Source organism: Homo sapiens, chromosome 7 (genome assembly GCF_000001405.40).
Source record: "Homo sapiens chromosome 7, GRCh38.p14 Primary Assembly".
NCBI lineage: Eukaryota > Metazoa > Chordata > Mammalia > Primates > Hominidae > Homo > Homo sapiens.
This window is the reverse complement of record NC_000007.14, coordinates 40,308,169-40,331,609: the sequence shown is the minus strand read 5'-3', so window position 1 is coordinate 40,331,609 and position 23,441 is coordinate 40,308,169. Positions and strand designations below refer to the sequence as shown.

General features: G+C 39.4%; 1 protein-coding gene across 19 annotated transcripts in view, besides 1 other annotated feature; it reads right to left on the bottom strand.

Annotated features, from left to right (window-relative positions):
• Positions 1-23,441, bottom strand: part of SUGCT (succinyl-CoA:glutarate-CoA transferase) — a 903,812-nt gene that overhangs the window by 707,207 nt on the left and 173,164 nt on the right. For all 19 annotated transcript variants that reach the window (XR_007060157.1, XR_007060158.1, XR_007060156.1 and 16 more), the window contains one exon: positions 14,755-14,850. Coding sequence is in view for 16 of the 19 variants with exons in the window: in XM_047420840.1 (XP_047276796.1) it covers positions 14,755-14,850 (96 nt within the window). In the remaining 3 variants the exon portion in view is untranslated. The remainder of the gene's footprint in view (positions 1-14,754; positions 14,851-23,441) is intronic.
• Positions 19,993-20,062: an enhancer, noted in NCBI's record as "active region_25891". NCBI's record gives its function as "activates an Ori minimal core promoter by ATAC-STARR-seq in GM12878 lymphoblastoid cells {active_cell/tissue: GM12878}" and the evidence as "EXISTENCE:reporter gene assay evidence [ECO:0000049][PMID:35858748]".

The following is a 23,441-nucleotide window of genomic DNA, read 5'->3' as shown; positions in this document are numbered from 1 at the left end:
AAGATAGCAGCAGGCCTGCGGTCTCTGAGCTCGTGTAGTACTGGCAGTCACAGCTACCGGCTACTGAACATATGCTATGTGCCAGACCCTATGCCACATATTTTAAATGCACTGTCCTGTGACTTGTCACCAGGTAGTAATATACCTATTTTATACATGAAGAAATTAAGGATCAGTGAGATGAAGCAATGTGCCAAGGTCTGTCTGACTCCAAAGCTCATGCATGCTTTTAAACACTACACCTAAATGTGCTGCTATCTCTAGCAAGTTGAGTCTCAGCAGCAACAAGTGAAAAGAAAAAGGAAAAAAAAATTCAGCAGTAAAGAGGATGGGTGTGTAAAATACTATCACTGAAGAAGTAGATGTTTAGACTGTGCCTAAGAATAGGAATGGGCATTTTAGGCTTGTTTTCCATGATTTAAATCAAGCTTGTCCAACCCGCAGCCCCCAAGCCGCATGTGGCCCAGGACGCTTTGAATGCCCAATATAAATTCATGAATTTTCTTACAATATTACGAGATTTTTTTTGTGATTTTCTTGTTTAGCTCATCAGCTATCTTTGGTGTTGCTGTATTTTATGTGTGGCCCAAGACAATTCTTCTTCTTTCAATGTGGCGCAGGGAAGTCAAAAAATTATCTAAATTTTAGATAATGTTTTAGAAAAATAAAATTCATTTTCACTAAAATGCTTCAAAATTAATTCTGTTTCTGGTCATAAGGAATCACATCAGAATAAATGATGTTAGAAAAGACCCTAAAGCTTAGAAGTAATTACTATGGTGACCTTAATTATTTGAACAAAAGAAAATTATATGTAAGCTAAAACTGTATTGTTTTTACATCAATAAAACCATTTTCTTGGCTGAAATTACCCAAACCAAGTATTTGCCACGCATTTAGTGATATAAAGTAAATAAATGCCCCCCCATCCAGAAGAGGAAATACACACACTCACAAAACACACTCAAGCACACACAAACACTTGCTACTTTATGACTTGTTTGCTAACCTTGTTAACTGAAACAGAGGAAAAACCATGCCGGACTTAGAGGTAGGAGCGTTTGCCAGCAGGTAATTTCTTTCAAGAACTAACTTTTCTCAAGCTAGGCATCCGGCAAAAAAAAAAATCGGATCTTCTAAAGCATAGTCCTTACCCTCTTCACCCTTCTTTCCTAATATGCAGACCTAACCAGTTGTTAACAGGACCTTTCCTAGGAACCTCATACATCTCTAAATGTATATCTTCTCCCTCAGGATATTACTTTACCTGTAAATGTCCCTATATTCACCTTCATGGCTGAAACTAACTCCCTACAAGATTACATTTGGGACATTATTTCCTAAGCAGACTCAATCTTCTTTATAAAACTTCCCTTGAGACACCTCACACACTCAGAAAGGTCAGCACTTCCTCCAACAATCACATCTTAGAGGCTGATGCTAATTTCAGGATACAGCCTTGCTTCCTTTCTGTTCTCAATAATGTCTACGGAGATCAAATCTGTATGTTTATTCTGTGTTGCTGTGCTCAGAAGCCCAGGATGCTGTTCTCTCAGTGAGCCTGTCACAGCATCTGCAGTGTATTCTCTGCTGAGGTTATATAATGACAGACTAACCCATGCAACAGGGAAGACAGTAGGCAGGAGTGCCAATCCAAAAAAATGGAAATCATTCCCAGGAATCTCTCTCCAGGACTTTGAACCATAGAGAATGATAGTTTTACCTTAAATAATCAATGTGTATATCAGTAGCTGTAAGGATGGGGAGGAAATCATCTAATAATAATATGATCATGTTCAGGGATTCTTGCAAATCCCCATTGAAAAATCCTGTCCCATTACCAGGTTACAAGAGTGACATCTAGTGGACTCATATTAGAATGACAACAAGGGTCTAAGGAAAACAAATCACCTGTGCACACATCTTGTTAAAATGCAGATTCTGGTTCATTAGAATGAATCTATTACTTCTAACTTCCAGGTGATGCCAATGCTGCCACTCCATAGACTACTCAGTGTCACTAGGACCCAGAGCATTTCGCACCTGCTTTCACCCTCAGGCGAGAAGGAGGAGGGGGCACTTGAGAGTAAATACTTTCCAGGTGAAAAATAGGCCAAATGAATTATTAATATAATTCTGTATAATGTTCCTATTTCACTAGCACCACTCAGCATGCACACGTACCATTTCCTGTCTGGGCAGGGTCCCTGAAGCAGTACTCCTTTTCCTAAATGCCAGAAGCAAACTTAAGAAGGAAACAGCCTATTTCACAGCCATACTTATACATCAACATGATTTGTTCAAGTCTCCAGTACAGATTCACTTCAGTACTTAACATCTTACAGGCTTTCTACCATTGTTATATTATTTGCCTAATATTAAACTATAATAGTAATTGGTACCATATCAGAACTCAGTTATTTTCCCCCCAGGCAGCCTGCACCTGAACTGAGATCTATCAGGGTACTGTGTTGGTGCTAAGCACAGCTACTCAGAATTTCAACAAGATTTGCACTGGACACCCCTAGGAACAAAACAGGACATGTAACTACATGCGAATCCAACTGTTTCCATAAACTAGTCCTGTGTGATTTATTTGAGCTAAAGAGCCCTGACCTCCACACAGAGCCACCAGGCTAGACTCTTAGCTGCGAGGTAATGTGCGTGTCCCTTCAAAGAGGAGCTATGCCAGGCCTCACCCAAACTCTTCCCACCTAGGCCTCCACCTTGGGTAGATTTGAACCCATTCTTTGGTTTTAGGTCCACAGTTCTAGGAACGACAACAATGATTTCCAGCACTGAAGGAAATCAGTCTCTTTTCTCCAAAACACATACACATACACACACATACACACACATGCACACACATACACACACATACACACACACATACACATGTACAAAACCCACTTTCTTGTTCAATAAAGTCCTTCAGTACAAGATGATCGATCTAGGACAAGTAATGAGTTTTAAGCAGTGGAATCCCTGTTTCAAAAAACTACCAGAAGGTGGAATTGTTCTGGTTGAAATGGGGTGTGAATACTTAGAAAACTGTCTACTTGGTTTCTACCCAGGCTATCCCCCTCCTTAGGCCCTGGAATACTCCTCCTCATGTCCCAAATATTCCTTCCCATCCCAGCTCTGTCCCCACACTACCAAACTCCAGAAATACAGGTTGAAAACTAGAAACGATGAGTCTCACAACAGCTAAAACCATCCCCAACTCCTATATTGCTCAAGGACTGTTCTCATTAAATAGATGGAACTGTTAATAGGTAGAGTTGCTTCACTATACCATCACTTACTTATGAACCTAATACCATTTTAGCATATGCGACCAAAGGATTTATTCAAAAGATGTACAACCTGATTTCTGAAGGAAATTTGCTTTTAAGTCATAATTAAGGATCCCTGTGATGAGTAAACAACAGAATTGTTTATACCTCTTGAATTGCTCTTGGCAGTCCTAAAGGGGAAATTATGTAGAGGAAAAGGTCACATAATTATTTCTCAAAAGTAGGATAAAGATAGAAAATGAAACTAAACATGCAGCATTGTATCATCTGCCTATACAGTACAATGAGCTCAAGTCCCCCTGCCTCAGTTAGAATCCCAGTTATACCATGGACTTGTGACCCTGCACAAGTTATCTAAACTCTCTATGCCTCAGTTTCCACATGTGAAAGTGGAGATAATAGCAATAACTATTTTAAGGGCTGTGGTAAATATTGATTTAATATATGTAAGATATTTAATAACACAGTAATCATTGATAAATGTTACATCTGATAATTATTATAGTGATTAAGATAATATTACTAGAACTAATGACTGAATATTCAAAATGGCCTTTGATTCTTTTAGATAATTTTAGCCAAATATGTTAGGCATAGAAAATATAAAAACACATTAGTTCTGCACATATATTAAGAATACAAGAAAAGCCGAAAAAATCTTAAAGGAACTAGGGATTTACTACTTTTACTTTCCTTGCACCACCTTCTATTTTACCTCTTAGCGAAACACATTTAAAACACTATATGTCAGAGGGAATTCTGAGTTTAAAAAATCATAATAGTCTTTGAACAGTTGTAAGTGCATTTATTCTTTGTGCAATAGTTACCCTTGGACATCATGTTACCTTATTTATGTTAACTTCAGAAATTTTGTTTTAAATCAAAGACAGCCAAATCTTTCCTAAGAAGTAGCCCAGAGGGTGGCAGCTATTATGCCGCAGCTGGCACATCTGCCTTAATTTTACCTGCTCCTGGACTGCCCAGTGACCTATATTCTTCAGACTGTGGCAACCTCCTGGCCAACTGGTTCCAAATTTAACCAGGATCTTCAAACAAAAGATTTTGTCTTGCTTTAACAAGAATCCCAAATCCGTAAGGATCAAGGCATACACAAAGGCAAATATTCAAAAGCTACCTGGCCAAAAACTTTAGAACTAAAGGGGCTGGGGGTTCATACAATCCATGCCTTAATTTACCAGAAAACCAACTTTTGAATATTCTAACTCATCAGTGCTAATTAATCAAAAGTTTGTAGAAGCCTCTGAAATGTAATCTAATGTCTTTGCTATCACCTACTCTTTCGTTCCCAATAAATCTCCAAATATTTTTTAATGGGTAAGCATTATCGACATTCTTTGCAATTTTAAGGGTATAAAAACAAGTGTTTAAAATATTCTATTTCCTTCACTTTTTAAAACCAAAAGAGAAATCTCCACAATTTTTTGCTCTTACAAAGGTGAGTATATATTTTTTATAAAGGTAGGTTCCCATCTTGTGGGCTTCTCAGAGATTACTCCTGAAAATCATTTTTGTCATGGTTCCTTTTGTTAAGTATGAATCTATACCCAATCTCAATTAATTAAACCATTCAATAAACTAGAAGCCTTACTCCCTGTAACAACTGAGTGATGCTGCCATACATGATTCTCCTCAAACTCTATTAATTTTAATAATGCTATATTTGGACAATGAGCTGAAGGCTACAATTTCCGAAAAAGTTCTACAAAGAGTTTTTTTAAAACAAAATTACCACAGCGTGTTGCCCTCTTTTCTTCTCTAAAAAATGAAAAGAAATTAAGCTAAAAATCCCATAAAGTTTAAGAAAGAAATTCAGCTCTGTTTATTTATTTACTCTGCCCCTAAGCTTCTATGGGTAGTTTTCATAGAGACTATTTCATATTTTCATAGAAACTATTATTCACAAAAGCTATAATTATTAGTTCAACACACCAATAATAACAGGAGCCACCTTTTATTGAGGGCTTTCTAGAGTCAGATGCTGCACAAAACACTTAGTACAATGATCTCTTTTAATTCTCCAGGCCTGTCTGACCCCAAAGCTCAAGTTCTCCCAACTTTCCCTGCTATATTGCCTTTGAGTCCCTTGAAATCAAGGGCCCAGTTCTTCCTCATTTGGAGGCTTTCAGGACTAAAACACTGCCTACCCCACAGGGTACTCAAGAAATTATGTTTTAATTGGTTTGTCAAGAGTCATTTGAAAGCAATGTACTGAAACCATGGTAGGGGGAAACCTACACTTGCCCTACAGCTCATAATTCAAAGATACTTCTGTAGCAAGGCCAGCTATTAGGTTTGGTACCCACTAGAATCATAATAAACTTGACATTTGTTAAAGAGATAATGGAAACAGATTAGAAGAATTCTAGAATCTGCCAAAAACAAACAAAAAAAAAAGACGCACATCCATGATGCATCCAGCTTAGTTTGGATACAGTCAGAAAAGAAATTTGTTTTTGTTTTGTTGTTGTTGTTTGTTTTGTTTTGTTTTGAGACGGAGTTTTGCTCGTCGCCCAGGCTGGAGTGCAATGGTGCAATCGCAGCTCACTGCAACCACCACCTCCTGGTTTCAAGCGATTCTCCTGCCTCAGCCTCCCGAGTAGCTGGGATTACCGGCACGCACCACCACGCCCAGCTAATTTTTGTATTTTTTAGTAGAGACGGGGTTTCCCCATGTTGGCCAGGCTGGTCACAAACAGAAACAAGTTTTAAAACCTTAAATCCATGGTTCCTATTTATTCTAGAACATAACTGCTTAATGTCTCTAGGCTTCCCTTTCATCAAACTAAAAGAAGAATAAGCAAAAATTTTATAAATACATACATACATGTATGTATACATATATCTCCCAGCTACATAGTACATGTCTGTTGGTAACCATCATGATTATTGTTACTGTTATTACTAATACAACAATTATTTTAAACATGTGATAGAATCATATGCCTGTTTATACCTTCACATTTTAGTGCCTTAGTGTGACTATGGTAAAATAAATAAATAGAAAGTCACACAAGAAGAGACAGATGTATATCATTTATATTTTGACTTTTTAAAAAAAAATCCTTAACATGTGTTTAAGAAAAAAAAAGAAAAAGATTCCCAATGTTACCTAATCTGCCATGATTTAACAGCACTTTGACATTTTTCTAAGGAATGATAGCAAAGTACTGCATATCTTCAAACTTGGAATTTACTGCCTGTCTGAGTCTCTGCTTCTGCCAAATTAAATATACAGTATAATGTCCCCACCAGAAATAACATAGCACAGCTTCCTGCTCTACTCCTTGGTTGAATAAGCCCAAATTGGAACAAGGAAGATGTTATTTTATTTAATCATGTAAATAATTGTTTTCTTCAACCTCTTGAGTTAGAAGCTACTTCAGAAGAAAAGTTTAGAAGAAATTACCATGTGAATTATCAGGCCATTTAAAGGAAAATTCCCATTGAAAGGCTCATGAAAGAGCATAAAAAAAGAATTCTCACTAATGAACTACTCAGAAAGTCAACTACCCCTAGCTATTGCATACCACCTGAACTCCTGGGGTCTCCCATTGGTCTGCAAAGCACAGACCACATCATAGAATAGACAGTAGAGGGCTTCCATCCAGCAATCACCCAAAATTTTTTGGAAGAGTCCTGTATAGTAGCACATATAGAAATAGGATAGGATTTGAAAAAGACATTGCTTGGGAATCAAAGAAAGGTTGGTGGGCTTTTTAAGGTCAAAACTATGATCTGGCTGGGCGTGGTGGCTCATGCCTGTAATCCCAGCACTTTGGGAGGCCGAGGCAGGTGGATCACCTGAGGTTGGGAGTTCAAGACCAGTCTGGCAAACATGGTGAAACCCCATCTCTATTAAAAATACAAAAATTAGCCTGGCATGGTGACGTATATCTGTAATCCCAGCTACTTGGGAGGCTGAAGCACAAGAATTGCTTGAACTTGGGAGGTGGAGGTTGAAGTGAGCTGAGATTGCGCCACTGCACTCCAACCTGGGCAACAGAGCAAGACTCTGTCTCAAAAAATAAATATATATATATTTATTTATTTATTTATTTATATATATGATCATCTGCTTATCCTATGAAGTATAATACAGGTGATAGAGGACATAAAATGCAGATGCAATGCCCTTAGGCAAAATATGGAAAGGGACGCTTCCTCTCTTGTGACAGGAAGGAATGCAGTGATCTATATATAGGTTCAAATGCAAGAGTTTGGGAGGTACAGTAGAGAAAAGATAAGGTAGTTCTCTTTTGATTGCATTAATTTTAAGTGGAATAAGAGACAAAGTCTTTAAGGATGAGGAGAGATGGAAAGATCTTAGAGAAGAGAAGATGTGAGGTAGTCATCTCAGAGGGGGAGAAAATAAATTACCTAGGTAAAGGTGGCAGGATTTCTGGGTAAGCCCGAGGGGCCACTTGAGAGAGATGGCCATGGATTGGGAGGGAGATCATCAGCAAAGTAGCATATTTTCTTCTGGCCATATCCACCACTTGACTGCAGGCCAGGAATAGATGAACTATTAAGTCTATCCGCACTGGGATTTTGCCAGTTGAGTATAAAGGCAAAGCTATAGTCATTGATAATAACAGTCTAAGTCTGCGAGCAATGGCTCACAGCTGTAATCTTAGCACTTTGGGAGGTGAAGGTGGGAAGATCACTTGAGTCCAGGAGTTCAAGACCAGCCTGGGCAAGATGATGAGACCCTGTCTCTAAAAAAAACTTTTTAAATAGCTGGGCATGGTGGTGTGTGCCTGTGGTCCCAGCTATTACTCGGGAGGCTGAGGTGGGAGGTTTGCTTGAGTTTGAGGCTGCAATGTGCTATGATCACACCACTACTCCAGCCTGGACAACAGAGAGAGACTCTGTCTCTAAAAAAATAATGATAATAATGCATTTTAGATCTGGAAACTGAGTGCTCCTACTAACAGCATCAACATCACCTTGAAACAGAATCTGCATCTTAACAAGACATCCAAATGATTCACATGCACTTTAAACTTTGAGAAACACCAAGTGAATGGGAGTGGGAGCCAAGTGAGAACAGAAAAGGATCACTGCAAGAGAGGAGAGGTTAAAGAAAGAAGAGGGTGGACTGTTGCAAGGGTCCTCTATGTGGATTTTACAGCCACCAAGACTGATGACAGGAGAAATGACTGGGTCAAAAGAAGAGAGATTAACAGAGCCATATGGGAAAATTGTCCAGGTGATAACAGATGGCCAAAAGGTTTGGAGTTCTGGTTGTAATTGAGGCAAATGGGTATAAGGAGTGATGGGACTCATTCTGGTAGTAGTTTATTTTATTTTATTTTATTTATTTTATTTGAGACAGGGTCTCGCTCTGTCACTCAGACTAGAGTACAGTGGTGCAATCACAGCTCACTGTAGCCTCAACCTTCCAAGTCAGGTGGGAGGCTCAAGCAATCCTCCCACCTCAGCCTCCAGAGTAGCTGGGACCACAGGCTTGTGCCATCATGCCTAGTTTCTTCTTCTTTTTTATTTGAGAGACAGGTCTCACTATGTTGCCCAGGCTGGTCTCAAACTCCTGAGTTCAAACAATCCTCCCGCATCAGTAGTGCTGGGATTACAGGCGTGAGCCACCATGACTGGCTCTGGTAGTCTTTTTAAGGAAAGGTTACAGTCTTATTCTCAAGACCGGCCTCTTGGGCAATTTACCCTGTCATGAGGGCAACACTATAGCTGAAGGAGTTGTGGTTTTGCCAGGAGCACAATAAACTGTGAGCTCCCTCAATTCCTGCTGCCAAAGGAATGAGCTGGGGGGACAGATGGTCTCATCAGAAACACAGTCTGGTGGGCTTCTATTAGATCCTCACATCAGCTTGCCCCTTGGGAAGGGATTCACTGTATATCAAAACTAAATCATTAAGCACTTAGTATAGTGGTAGCTACCCAAAGATCTGTGGGCACAAAGACTGTGCCTGCACTAGAGAGCATAAAAACTCATAGAAGACTAGAGAAATTCATTGCTCTTGAAAAGGAGAAGAGAGACAAGGGACCTCTGAAGCCAGAAAGGAGAAGGGAGAGAGAGAGACACAAGATGGGGAGATTCTTATGCTATTCAGAACAGTGAAACTCCCTGGTAACAATCAAAGGATATGGTTAGAAAGGTGAGGCCTCCTGTTGTAAGACTGGGTACATTTCATCTATAAAAAAACACTGCTCTTAAAATGTAAGAACAGATGGTGAGGACATGGAGAAAAGAGAATGCTTATAGCCTGTTGGTGTGAATGTAAATTAGTACAACTTCTATGGAGAACAGTATAGAGATTTCTCAAAGAACTAAAAAATAGAACTACCATTCAATCCAGCAATCCCACTACTGGATACCTGCCCAAAGGAAAAAAAATCAAGATCTCAAAAAGATACTTGCATTCACATGTTTATCGCAGCACTATTCACAATAACAAAATCATGGAATAAACCTAAGTGCCTGTCAACAATGGACTGGATAAAGAAAATGTGGTATATCTATACCATGGAATACTACTCAGACATAAAACAAGAGTAAAATCATATCGTTTGCAGCAACATGGATGGAATTGGAGGCCATGATCTTAATGTAAAATAACTCAGAAACATCAAGTCAGGCTGGGCACGGTGGCTCTCGCCTGGAATCTCAGCACTTTGGGAGGCCAAGGTGGGTGGATCACCTGAGGTCAGGCATTCGAGACCAGCCTGGCCAACATGGTGAAACCCCGTCTCTACTAAAAATACAAAAATTATCCAGGCATGGTGGCACAGGCCTATAGTCCCAGCTACTCGGGAGGCTGAGTCAGGACAATCACTTGAACTCGGTAGGCAGAGGTTGCAGTGAGCTGAGACAGCACCATTACACTCCAGCCTCGGCAACAGAGCAAGACTCTGTCAAAATAAAACAAAGTAAAACAAAAATGGCTGGGCACGGTGGCTCATGGCCATAATCCCAGCACTTTGGGAGGCCGAGGTGGGCAGATTACTTGAGGTCAGGAGTCTGAGACCAGCCTGGCCAGCATGGCAAAACCCTGTCTCTACTAAAAGTACAAAAAATTAGCCAGGCGTGATGGCGTTTGCCTGTAATCCCAGCTACTCAGGAGGCCGAGGGGGGAGAATCACTTGAACCGAGGAGGCAGAGGTTGCAGTGAGCCGAGATCGCACCATACACTCCAGCCTGGGTGACAGAGTGAGACTCCACTTCAAAAAAAAAAAAAAAAGAAAGAAAGAAAGAAAAAAGAAAAGAAAAAGAAACAGCAAGTCAAATGCTGCATGTTCTCACTTATAAGTGGGAGCTAAATAACATGGACATAGAGAGTGGAATAATAGACACTGGAGACTCAAAAACATGGGAGGTGGAAGGGGAGTGAGGGAGGAGAAAGTACCTATTGGATACGACATACACTATTTGGGTGATGACTGCACTAAAAGCCCAGGCTTCACCACTACATAATATTTGCATGTAACAAACCTGCACTTGTATGCTCTAAAATCTAATTTTAAAATAAGTAAATAAAAACTCCATTTTTTTCCCACTATATTCAGTATCACCTGTCCTTGTGAGTGTATTTGTGAATGGATCTTCTACGATATTGGAGACAGTAGAGGTCAGTGTGGGTCACAAACAAAGGAGGACATGGAAATGAAGGTTCCTAGAAGGTTGAAGAAATTTGGGCAAGAGTTTTAGATAGATGCAGGCTATGAAATTAAAAGAATTACCATGTTGGCCATGTATGTAAAGGGCAGTGGCCCCACTGACAACTATGTTACATAATAAAATATATTCTTTTTGGAGACCAGCTATCTGCTTTCTCTGCACCCTCCTCTCCCATCTCTAAAAGCCTACTGTCTTTAAGTATAATTGTTTAAGGGCTGGGAAACATATCTATGCATTAAAAATATTACAGGCTCACGCCTGTAATCCCAGCACTTTGGGAGGCCGAGGCAGCCAGATCACTTGAGGTCAGGCATTCGAGACCATCCTGGCCAACATGGAGAAACCCCATCTCTACTAAAAATACAAAAACCAGCCAGGCGTTTTTGTTATGCCTGTAATCCCAGCTACTCAGGAGGCTGAGGCAGGAGCATAGCTTGAACCTGGGAGGTGGAGGTTGCAGTAAGCCAAGATCACGCCACTGCACTCCAGCCTGGGTGACAGAGCGAGACTCTATCTCAAAAAAAAAACAAAAAATTAACAAATATTATGTAACTATTAATCCCTTAGGCTAAGTGCTTCTCTGTGGCAGGGTCCACTAGAAATGGGAACAAAAGAAGCAGTGAAATCTAAAACTTTTTTTTAAAAATCTGAAACCTGCCAGACACTGTGGCTGGTACCTGTAGTCTCCGCTACTCGGTATCCCAGCTACTAGGAACACTTGAGCCCAGCAGGTCGAGGCTGCAGTAAGCTATGATCACACCACTGCACTCCAGCCTGGACAACAAAGTGAGAACCAGTCTCATAAATAATAAATAAATACATAAATATCTGAATTCTCAGAAAAGCATCCACCAACATGTTCAACAAGTAGCAAAATTATGTCAGCTCTGTCTACGTTTGTCTAACTTACTTAATCTTAAAAAGCTGGCAGCCAAAGAATAGGGAAGAAAAGGGCATGAGAGGATAATCAATCTGAGAAGTTAAGAACTGCATGCTTATAAAATAACACACAAAACAAGAATCACTACTTTTCTGAAATTTACATGACATGCATTTGAGGTATACAATCTTTCAGATAGGGTTCAACAAGAATGGAGGAGAGTGAGCTAGGCACCTCAAGTAACTCCTGTGACCATCAGAGTCTTCCATTATAGACAGCCCAAAACTCAGACAACTCAACTTAGATGCAAAGTTTTCTGTAATTATTACAGAAAACTAAATTATAATTATCCTGGCATTCACCCACAAAAATATTCCCCCAATCTATTTTTAAAATTGAAAACAGACCGGGGTCTCTAAGCATATCTAGGACCCATCTTGGTATGCTAGTTTCATTTCAGCTAAATTTGCATTTATTCCTTAATCACAGTGCTGAACTAGTTCTTGGGAAGAGGAAACAAATTAATTCTGGGCTCTTGAGGAAATAACCTGGTAGATTTCTTATTTCTTATAGATAATACAGCTGCAATCAACTAAAATCAAATAAGTATACTATCCATTTTATGTGAATGGCACAATTCAACAGGAAAAGTACATTTCTATCATTGAAGAACAGACAAACACAGACACAGATACACACACAGAGAGAAAGAGAAAAAAAATCCTATGTCTTTTACTTTCCAAAATAAAAGCCAAGATTCTGAATTTCTTTTCAACACATAGTGAAATAATTGAGGGCATACCCAGGGTGCCAGAACTCTAGGTGCACATGCCCAGAAGGAATAGCTGAGGTCTATATAAAGCTTTTTAAAATGATGTTCCATTTTTTAAATGAGCAAAAAATAAACTATAAACTTTATGCTTGAACACAGTGAACACCTACCTATGTGATGGGATTTGGAATTACACTAGAGAATCTTCCAACTCAGGAATGCTTTCTTCACGTACATAAAAGGCTGAAGGCCAGGCCAGGCATGGTGGCTCATGCCTGTAATCCCAGTACTTTGGGAGGACGAGGCAGGTGGATCACTTGAGGTCAGGAGGTCGAGGCCAGTCTGGCCAACATGGTGAAACCCTGTCTCTACTAAAAATACAAAAATTAGCCAGGCGTGGTGGCACATGCCAGTAGTCCCAGCTACTCAGGAGGTGGAGGCAGAAGAACCGCTTGAACCTGGGAGGTGGAGGTTGCAGGGAGCTGAGATCGTGCCACTGCACACCCACATAGGCAACAGAGCAAGACTCTGTCTCTAAATAAATAAATAAATAAAGACTGAAAGCCAGACTTCCATTATTTGAGATGATTTCCCATAGATTCCAACATTGTTCTGTTAAAATACCCTTGAGAAAGACCTCCATTATCAATGACGAGTATAAATTTAGTTGATCAGACCCTTGACCTAGGAGCAAGTTTGATGGAGACCCTTGATAGGGGTAGAGTTGATGAAGGGAACTGAAATCACCTTTTCTTATCAAAGGTAGCAGAATCTGAAAGAATACTCAACAAGGAGGCAGGGCACCACAGTTGGAGTTCATCTGCCCAATCTAGGTATCAGATTTCTTATCTGAAAAACAAAAAGACTAAATCTGATGATCTCTAACCAATTCAACAATGTAATGACGTCTGTGAAATGAAGCAGGTCTGGTTAGAAGTATAGGGTCAGTCACAAAGGGCTAGGAAGTGGAGAAGCAAAATGTCATTAATGGTGGTCATAAAACGAATGGTGCAGACAAAGGGGAAGAACTGGAGAAAACACCTCCACAACTGTAATTACACCTAAAGATCAACTCAATGTGTTGAAAAGCAGTGCTACAGTGAAATCACAGTAATGCCTCAGGTAAAGGGCCATGAATATAAACAGAGAGGGAAGAATCCCAGGTTCATATTGGGTCAGTGCTTTCCTCAAATTCCGATTTTAAAAAATGGAAAAGAAACTAGTTTTGCCCAAGGAAATAATGTCTTAAAGCTAAAAGGATGATTAGCAGGGTTGATGAATTTCCTGGCAAATGAAAAATGCTGACTTTTTTGTTTTCTCCCAAGAGCACTAACATTGAAATGACTCCAGTAAAATTCACTCATTCATTCCACAGATATGTATATAGTACCTAACATGTGCTTCCATTGATTGTGAGAAGATATACAATGATGAAAAAGTCACCTCTACTCTTAAGAGTTTGCAATAGAGTACAGGAGATATGCAGATACATTAATAAATACAACAACATACAGTGCAACTGGACCAAGCAACTGGATTGGAAGAAGAGCTAGGTTTTGTTTTAAATTTTATTTTTGAAAGATCACAGTTACTTCACATATTCATTTACACTAGCCAAAGTCAAGAATTTCTAAGGACAAGTTAAGACACTTAATAAAGAACAGCAGCTCCTGAGCCATCTGCTTTGTTCCAAAAATGAAGAACCATCACACGCAAATTTTCATTTTACTTCAATCCTGTGAGAATATTATTGTCAGATGGGGTAGGTAACATTTGTTTTGTAACTGACATGGTTAACAAATCATGCTTTATAAAATGGCTACAGTCAGTGCCTCTTTTAGGTGGGAAAAAAAAAAAAGAAAACCATCATACGAGCCCAAAAGGCACTTACTTTCAGCAAGTTCCTTTGATCTGTTTAAGGGTCTTGTTACTAATCTCTTTCTGATGAAGAAATACGCAAAACAGAACTTAAAGTGAACAACAGAACCTTGTTATAGCCAGACACAGATACATTACAAAAAAAAAAAAAAAAAACAGCTGAAGGATTTGTGTATAAAAAGAAATCATTTTCCAAAAACACATCATATAAAACTGCAAATTACAACAGCCCAACCCTAGACTGCTGTAGTCTTACCTGGTAAGGAACGATACTGCCATGAGCTGTACCCCAACGTTTTGCTTCCTTTTGACCAATAAGATAATTTGCAGCTATGTGAGACAAACACGCCACCTACCAGGAAAAAAAGTAAATAAATAAAATAGAACAGCTAGTTTATCTATACTCATAAAGAGAACGTTATATTATGAAAGTAATTTCACTTCATCTCATTGTAGAAGAAAAAAACCTGTCCATCAAGTTAGAAAATATACAGGCATTGTACTTTTATCACACAAATGAAGAACGGCATTACACTATTGCATGAGACTAAGTAATAGTCAATTGAGAAATATAAATACATAAACGTTCAACCCCTAAAAAGATTATCTGAAAGCAGAGGTTGACCAAGCAGATGGAACCGTGGTCTGGCCTTTATCCTCAAACCCATGGCAATATACATCAGCAACTCGTGCATTTTTTTCCCCTCTGCATGTATCTCCTTTTATTTTGCACCAAGATAACACAAAGAGAGCCTGTGTCATCACTGAGTAGATGAACCAAAGCCAGGAACCACATTCCTCTAAATTTCTGATGACACAGAAAAGTAATAATAATAAACCTCCATTTTATTTAAGTCAGTTTAGCCAGGTTTTCTGTTACATTCTGCCCAAAGCATTCTGACAGAAAAGATCAAGATTATTTGAGTTTTTAAAATTAATTAGTGGATCATCCTCATTTAAAGAAACATTACTGTACTTCTCCCAATTTGTTCCTAGCCCCATGTGCTCACTGTCATACTCGATTCAATTTTTGAGAACTGCCGATCTATTAAAGGGGTCATCCAAAACCTTAGAGTCAATTTCTGACTACTGTAGTATTTCATGGACAGATCTTGACAAATCTACAATAGTTCAACTCAATATGACGATAATATGAAGATAATGAATTGATTCCTGGTGATCTGCCACAAGGATCTTATGTTCCAATGAATATTTATGGCTCCACCACCACAGAACTATGGAAAGGAGGTGATCAAATGATTTTCCATGGATTCCAGAAAAGAATAAAAAGTGGTTCAGGCCACATGACATAATCATGATATAGCACCGGCTTGCTTTTCCCTTTCTAGATCGTCAGATGCGATTGGAAAACCTACAAAGCCTGTCATTAAAACATACCCCAAATTGAGATTGGCTCCTGGAACAACTCAAGGCATGATTTTTCAGGCCTTTTCTTGCCCCCTACCTAGCACAGCAGCTGTGCTTCCTACAAGAAATATCAACAGGACTCAGCTTGGATGAATCACCTTGCTGCTGCAGCCATTCTCCTTTACTTTATTCTTGGGACTTAAACTCACTTTTATGTTCATTTACCGCTCTGTCAAAATTGGAACTGCCTGTGGCAGCTGGTTTGGCTGTACAGCCCAGGTGGCAAAACTAATAAACTTTGAGTCATCCAGTTCTAGACTTCCATCTGGTCTTGGGCATTTGAACCATGGAGCATTCCAGGGCTGCCTGGGGCCGCCTAGTGCTAATCACCATTTCACAGATCACTTCTGTGTCTTTCAAAATGGAAAATCAAATCAACATTTTGTAGCAAAAATGCCCTGGATAGGAAGTCCAGACATGGATGGTTGAAACCTAGATGGTTTCTAATCTCTGTTGACCTCTAAATAGTTCCATGACTGTGGGTATGTAATTTACCTTCTTTGATCTTCTGATACATTCTCTATAAAGTCTTGGGCATTTCAGCTAAACCAAAGGTTTTCAAATTTTTTTTAAAAAAGCAGAACCCTCGTATTCAACCAAATAATACATGAAACCCTAATATATAAATATGTAAGCAGATAATATTTCAAGTGCTCTGGATGAAGCAGAAGCAGTCCTGCAACACCACCCAGGCAGAATGAACACAAAACACAATTTGCAAAATAGTAAGTAATCTTCAACGTGCTTACAAGGCAAATGTGGTATACACTTCGGGCTCTATTATTCCTCTTAACAATCTGGCAGATAAAAAGACAAGAGGGGCCGGGAGCAGTGGCTCACACCTGTAATCCCAGCACTTTGGGAGGCCGAGGCAGGTGGATCACCTAAGGATGGGAGTTCGAGACCAGCCTGACCAACATGGAGAAACTCCATCTCTACTACAAATACAAAATTAGCCAGGCATGGTGGCACATGCCTGTAATCCCAGCTACTTGGGAGGCTGAGGCAGGAGAATCGCTTGAACCCAGGAGGCAGAGGGTGCAGTGAGCTGAGATCGTGCCACTGCACTCCAGCCTCGGCAACGAGAGCGAAACTCTGTCTTAAAAAAAAAAAAAAAAAAAAAAGACACAAGGGATGCAATAGGAGTTATTTCCCTTGACACCCCTTCCTGAAATTGGAGACATTTTCTGACTTCTCAGGTCTCTTTTCAGATCTAGCTATGTTGTTATTCTTTTTATTTATTTTTTCATTCAAATAAATCATGGCGAATGTCACTCTCTAAGGGGCTCTGTTGCTACTGAAGGCCAAGAATTCAAATTAGTAAAGGTTATTCTGTGCAAGTAGTCAATCACAAAAGGCTTGTTATTTCTACTTCTCTAATTTCAAAGTCAATAGACCAACATCATCAAGGGCTACATGAGGTGGTGAGGTGGCTGGATGATCACAGGCCAACTTATAAATCCTAAATTGATCTAAGATAGTTGCCAGGGATAGGGAAGAACTGGATTCCTGGCTGGATATCAGCTTGGCTGCCTCATTCCTTACCCACTATCTTATTCTTTCTTTTCAATTTTTGACTTCTGTGTTTCTGACCTGCCCCATTTAGAATGAGTTTGAATGAAGAATCAGAATTCATCTCTCAAACTGTTTGCAAGTAGAATACTATATACATTTCCTCCTCCATACAGTGGTAGTTAATGAAAACAAAAAGCATTTCAGAATTAGCAGGCTCACATTGGGCAGAAGGATTAAATAAAATTTTAAGCCAATTGCCATGAAAAAACAAAGTGTGGGCCAGGAGCAGTGGCTCATGCCTGTAATCCTAGCACTTTGGGAGGCTGAGGCAGGTGGATCGCTTGAGCCCAGGAGTTCGAGACCCACCTGGGCAACATAGCAAACCTTGTCTCTACTAAAAATACAAAACAAAAAAAAAAAACAGATGGGGGGATCACCTGAGCCTGGGGAGGTCAAGGCTGCAGTTAGCGGTGATCACGCCACAGCGCTCCAGCCTCAGCAACAGAGTCTCAAAAAAAACAAAAACAAAAACAAAAACAAACAAACAAAAAAACCAAAGTGTGATTTGTCAGTAACAACTCAAAGACAAAGTTGGGGAAAAAAGAATTCTATTTTTTAAGAAAGAGAGCAACATGGCTAAACTTAGCAACTCAATGTTTAAAGGGGGTATTACCAATCTGAAAGTAATCTACTATTTACAGGGATGTATTTTAAGGCAGGAGAAGGGAGAGAAAGTCAATAGCTATGATGTGATTATGTATGAAAAAAATCAGAGGTTTCCTGGGCAATTAATGACAAATTTTGCACAAATTAAAAGAATGCAGGATGTGACTTTTTGGTTAATAACTATATACTGTATATGCATTCTAAATACTGCATTAGATCATTACTTTCATTCCCTAAACTTAGGCTTATTATTTCATCAAGTGGACGCTATATAATTTACTCAGAATGTTGCCTTTTTATGGTTTCATCTAAACAAAAAAGTCAACTTTGGTTTAATAATAATCATTCTGACAGCAAACTATTATTTTAGATAACAGAGTGGGTCCTGATATTCTTTGTTTCTAACCAGAAAACCAATGGGGTGGTCAAAATGGATCTCAAAGAGCAAAGCCCCAAAAGGCTTGAGGAAGAATATGCCCAATTATCTCTCAAAGCAGTCACATGGTGTCTGTCACCACATGCTCCACTTCCACCGAATGAGGATCAAGCTGCAATAATACAATCTTTCATCTCCAAAAGGACAACCAAGTGTGACAGGTAAAATGAAAAAAACAAGACTAGAACCATGGTTCACTGCATCAAAACGGGTCATTTTCCCCCACTTCCCTTGCATGTCTTCTGGCCTACAGCTAAGGTGAACTGAACACCAACCATGCAATCACCCACCTGCCCACATTTCCACCTATTCTTCAAAGTCTATTTCAACATCATCTTTTCCATTAAGCCCCAATCCCAGCCAGCAAGCAAGAGATTATATTTCCTGCCCCCGAATGAATACAACACTTAATTTATCTGATTTCTACTGCACTTTCACAGTCTTCCTTGTACTACAATTAGAATTGTAAGATGTCAAAGCTAGAACGAGCTAGGTCACTACTTCCTTAACCTACCCATGCATCCCCCCAGTCACCTATGGAATTCATAGAACCCACCCCATACCAAATGAATCAGGTTTTTCAGGGATGGAAACTTGGAAAAAAATAATTTCACCAGCGTAGTATTAATGGCACACCAGAGTTGAGAAGCATAGCCTTACAAGAGTCTAGTCAAACTCCTTAATATCCAGATGGATACAAAAAGGAACACAGAATAAAAATAACTTGGCCTGGCACAGTGGCTCACACCTGTAATCCCAACACTTTGGGAGGCTGAGGCAGGTGGATCACCTGAGGTCGGGAGTTCGAGACCAGCCTAACCAACATGGAGAAACTCCGTCTCTACTAAACATACAAAAAATTAGCCAGGCGTGGTGGAGCATGCCTGCAATCCCAGCTACTCGGGAGGCTGAGGCACGAGAATCGCTTGAACCCGGGAAGCAGAGGTTGCGGTGAGCCGAGATCGCGCCATTGCACTCCAGCCTGGGCAACAAGACCAACTCAAAAAAAAAAAAAACTTATGTGAGGACATACAGGTGGTTAATAACAGAACTTTACTCCAACAACATTGCCTTCCTCCATGCTACAATATTATTTATATGTTCTTCTATCCCTCCTTTTAAATAAGGAGCTATTTCAAGGTAAGACTTATTTATTTTAAACCCTTTGTGTGTTTCCATAGCACTTAACACAGATCCTGAACACTATTTTTTAACAAATGAATGAAAATGGTAATTACTACTTGTTTAATTATTCAGCAACTACTGAGTGTTGCTAATGTGTAAGGCTTTACTCTAGGTACTAAGTATACATAAGGAAATAAAAAAGATATAGTCTTGCCTTCTTTGGAATAGTAAAGAAAATAACTAAACAAAGAATTATAGGACCTGCCATGGGGAAAGAAGATGGAAGATAAAACTGGAAAACAAAGAGTAACATGTGCGAAAGCTCAAAGGCAGGAAAGGGGTTGGCATAGAGAAAGAACAAAACTGAAAGAAGACAAATATAACTAAACCATGGTGAGAAAGAGACTGAAACGAAATGAAAGAGAAAGGTAGACAGAGGCCACAGCATGCCAGTCATTGTAGTAATGGTAAGGAGCCATTCTTTGCACATCTTGCAGAATGATCATTTCAGAACAATCACAAATTGTATCGTCATTCTTCTATTTAAAACCCATAGGGATCCCCCACATTTGTAATTATATTCAAAGAATGAACTAAGAAGAGGCAAGAGAGAAAGGGGACTGTTAGGGATATTGTAAAGGTCCAGGCATAATTTGATGATAGATAGCTCAGACAAGGTTGGTAGCAGTAGACATGGAAAAATCATGAGTTTAAGATATATTTTAAGAACAGAACAGACAGAGCATGTGAAAGGTTGTATGGGCAGAGGATGCAGACAGAATGGTGACAGAGAGGAGAAACCAAACTTAACTCCCACAGTCCTGCTGAATATCTGGGTAAACTATGACAGCCTTAACAGAAAAACGGAAATCAGGGAGAGAAGTAATTGAAGCGAAAAGAAAATAAGAGCCCACCTCTGAATGTGTTGAATTTGAGATGCCTGTGATATAATCAATTAGGCAGGACTCAGCAGCCTATAGAAAGTATTTAAAAGTCCTAACCTAAGGGGAAAGAGAGATAAGAGAAGAAATCGGAAATAATATCAAACAAGAGAAGATAAAGTTTCCATGCAAAAACAGTCCTTCCTCTATCACCAAAGGGATGATCAAAGATGTAGGTATAAACTACTAGAGCCAATTTAAATGCCAAGAATGGGTGGTTTTAAATAAGCTATGACATCTGTATATAACAATAGAAGATAAATAGGCACTTAAATGACACAACAAAACAATATAGCATCATGTGGAAAAATATTCATAACATTTTATTTGAATTTTATCTGAAATAAACTTTGTATTTCAGAACATTGTTCAATTTATAGAAAAACCAAGATAGTACAGAGAATTCCCATCTACTCCACGTCCAGTATCCCTGTTATTACCATCCTATATTAGTGGAGTGCCTTCTTAACAATTACAGAGCCAATGTTGACACATTATTAACTAAAACCCACATACTCAGATTTCCTGACTTTTCACTTCATATCCTTTTTCTATTCCAAGATCCCAACCAGGATACCACATTGTATTTAGTCATCCTGGCTCCGTATTTAGTCATCCTGGCTCCTTTTCGCTGTGACAGTTCCTCATACTTTCCTTATTTTTTATGCACTGAAAGCTTTGAGGAAACTGATCAGGTATTTTGTAGAATTTTCCTCGACTGGGATTTTTGTGATGTTTTACTCATAATTAGACTGGAGTTATGAGGTTTTAAAAGAAAGACCATAAAAGAACAGCACCAATTTCAACATATCATATCAAAGATACACAGTGTCAACAATCAATCTTGATCACCTGGCTGAGGTAGTGTTTATCAGTTTTCTCTGCTGTAAGATTACTCTTTTTTCCTCCCCCTTTCCATACAGTACTCTTTGGAAGAATGTCACTACATAAGCCTATACTTAAGGGGTAGAAAGTTATGGTCCTGCTTCTGGAGGGTGGAGTATCTACATAATTATTTAGAATTTAGCACACATTTGTCTCCCTTTATTTATTTATTTATTCAATCATTTATTTAAATCAGCATGGTCATGTGTTTTTTTTTTTTTTTAATACTTTTTTGGTTATAATTCAATACCACTTTTTTGTTGTTGATCAAATTATTCCAGTTTTGGCCATTAGGACCTCTCTCCATTGGTACCTGTGTCCCTCTCGCTGTGTGGGCTTTGTTTTTAGCACTCCCTTACTTTGTGACAATATAAGATGCTATGGGCTCATCTTCCTATTTCCTTTCCCAGTCTTATAGGAAAGCATAAATAGAATAGGAGTTTTAGGGTAAAGAGCAAATATTTATTTCAGTGTCAGTCAGCACCTTATTCATTCCATACTTTTATTTAAAAGCTGATTTAGGCCAGGTGCAGTGGCTCATGTCTGTAATTCCAGCACTTTTGGAGGCCAAGGCAGGTGGATCACTTGAGGTCAGGAATTCAAGACCAGCCTGACCAACATGATGAAACCCCATCTCTACTAAAAATACAAAAATTAGCTGGGCATGGTGGTGAGTGCCTATAATCCCAGCTACACGGAAGGCTGAGGCAGGAGAATCGCTTGAGGCGGAGGTTGCAGTGAGCCGAGATAGAGCCATTGCACTATAGCCTGGGCAACAGAATGAGACTCCGTCTCAAAAACAAACAAAAAAAAAACACTGATATCACACTTACTATGTGCCAGGAATTGCTCTAGATACTGGGGATACAGCAGGGAAGGAGAAAGACATAGTCCTACTCTCATGAAGCTTACATTCTAGGGTAAGGTACATTCAGACATATACAGGAAAATATCAAGAAATGATTCGTGCTATGAAGAAAATGCAACAGAATCACAGAGAGTGCTCTTTTAAACTAATGGGCTTAGTAGAGGCCTCTTTGAAGATGTTATATTTAACTTAAGACCTGGAGAAGGCCTGTGAAAATCTAGGAGAAATTTTCCTTTTGTTTGAGACAGAGTCTAACTCTGTTGCCCAGGCTGCAGTGCAGTGGCACAATCTCTCATTGCAACCTCCACCTACCAAGTTCAAGCAATTCTTCTGACTCAGCCTCCCCAGTAGCTGGGATTACAGGTACACAACACCATGCCCAGCTAATTTTTGTATTTTTAGTAGAGGCAGGGTTTCACCAGGTTGGCGAGGCTGGTCTCGAACTCCTGACCTCAAGTGATCCACCTGCCTGGGCCTCCCAAATGCTAGAATTACAGGCATGAGTCACTGTGCCCAGCCTAGAAGAAATCTTTCTAGGCAGTGAGATCAACCAGTTAGAAGACTTTAATATGCTAAAAAGCTTACATACAGTGAAGAACAGAAAGAGAGCCATTGGAGTTGGAACCTAGTAAGTAAAAGAGACAGTAGTACAAGATGAGGTCAGGAAAGTGTAAAAGGGCCATATCATATGGGTCCTTGCAGGCCTGGGTAAGGATCTGAGATATTATTCTAAGTGTCATAGGAAGGTGTTGATTTCTATAATTAAATCACCTGGTCATTATGGTGTATGAACAGGCAATGAATGAAAGCAAATAAAGTCACATTGCAACTCCCATTTTATAAGAAAAAACTAAAGACCAAGGAGATTAAGTATGTTAATACTTAATTCGTCAACTAGGTCTCATAGTTGACGAATGGAAAAATCCTGACCCAAACCCAGGTCACTGTACTCTCTACACCATCCCTAAGCCACTAACTCCTCTCTGTTCAGCCTTTCTGCTCCCTGCCCCTTTCACCCGAGTAGTGAGTAGTTTCACATTTGTATCTTTGGTTGTATCCTTGGCTTCACATTTTATATT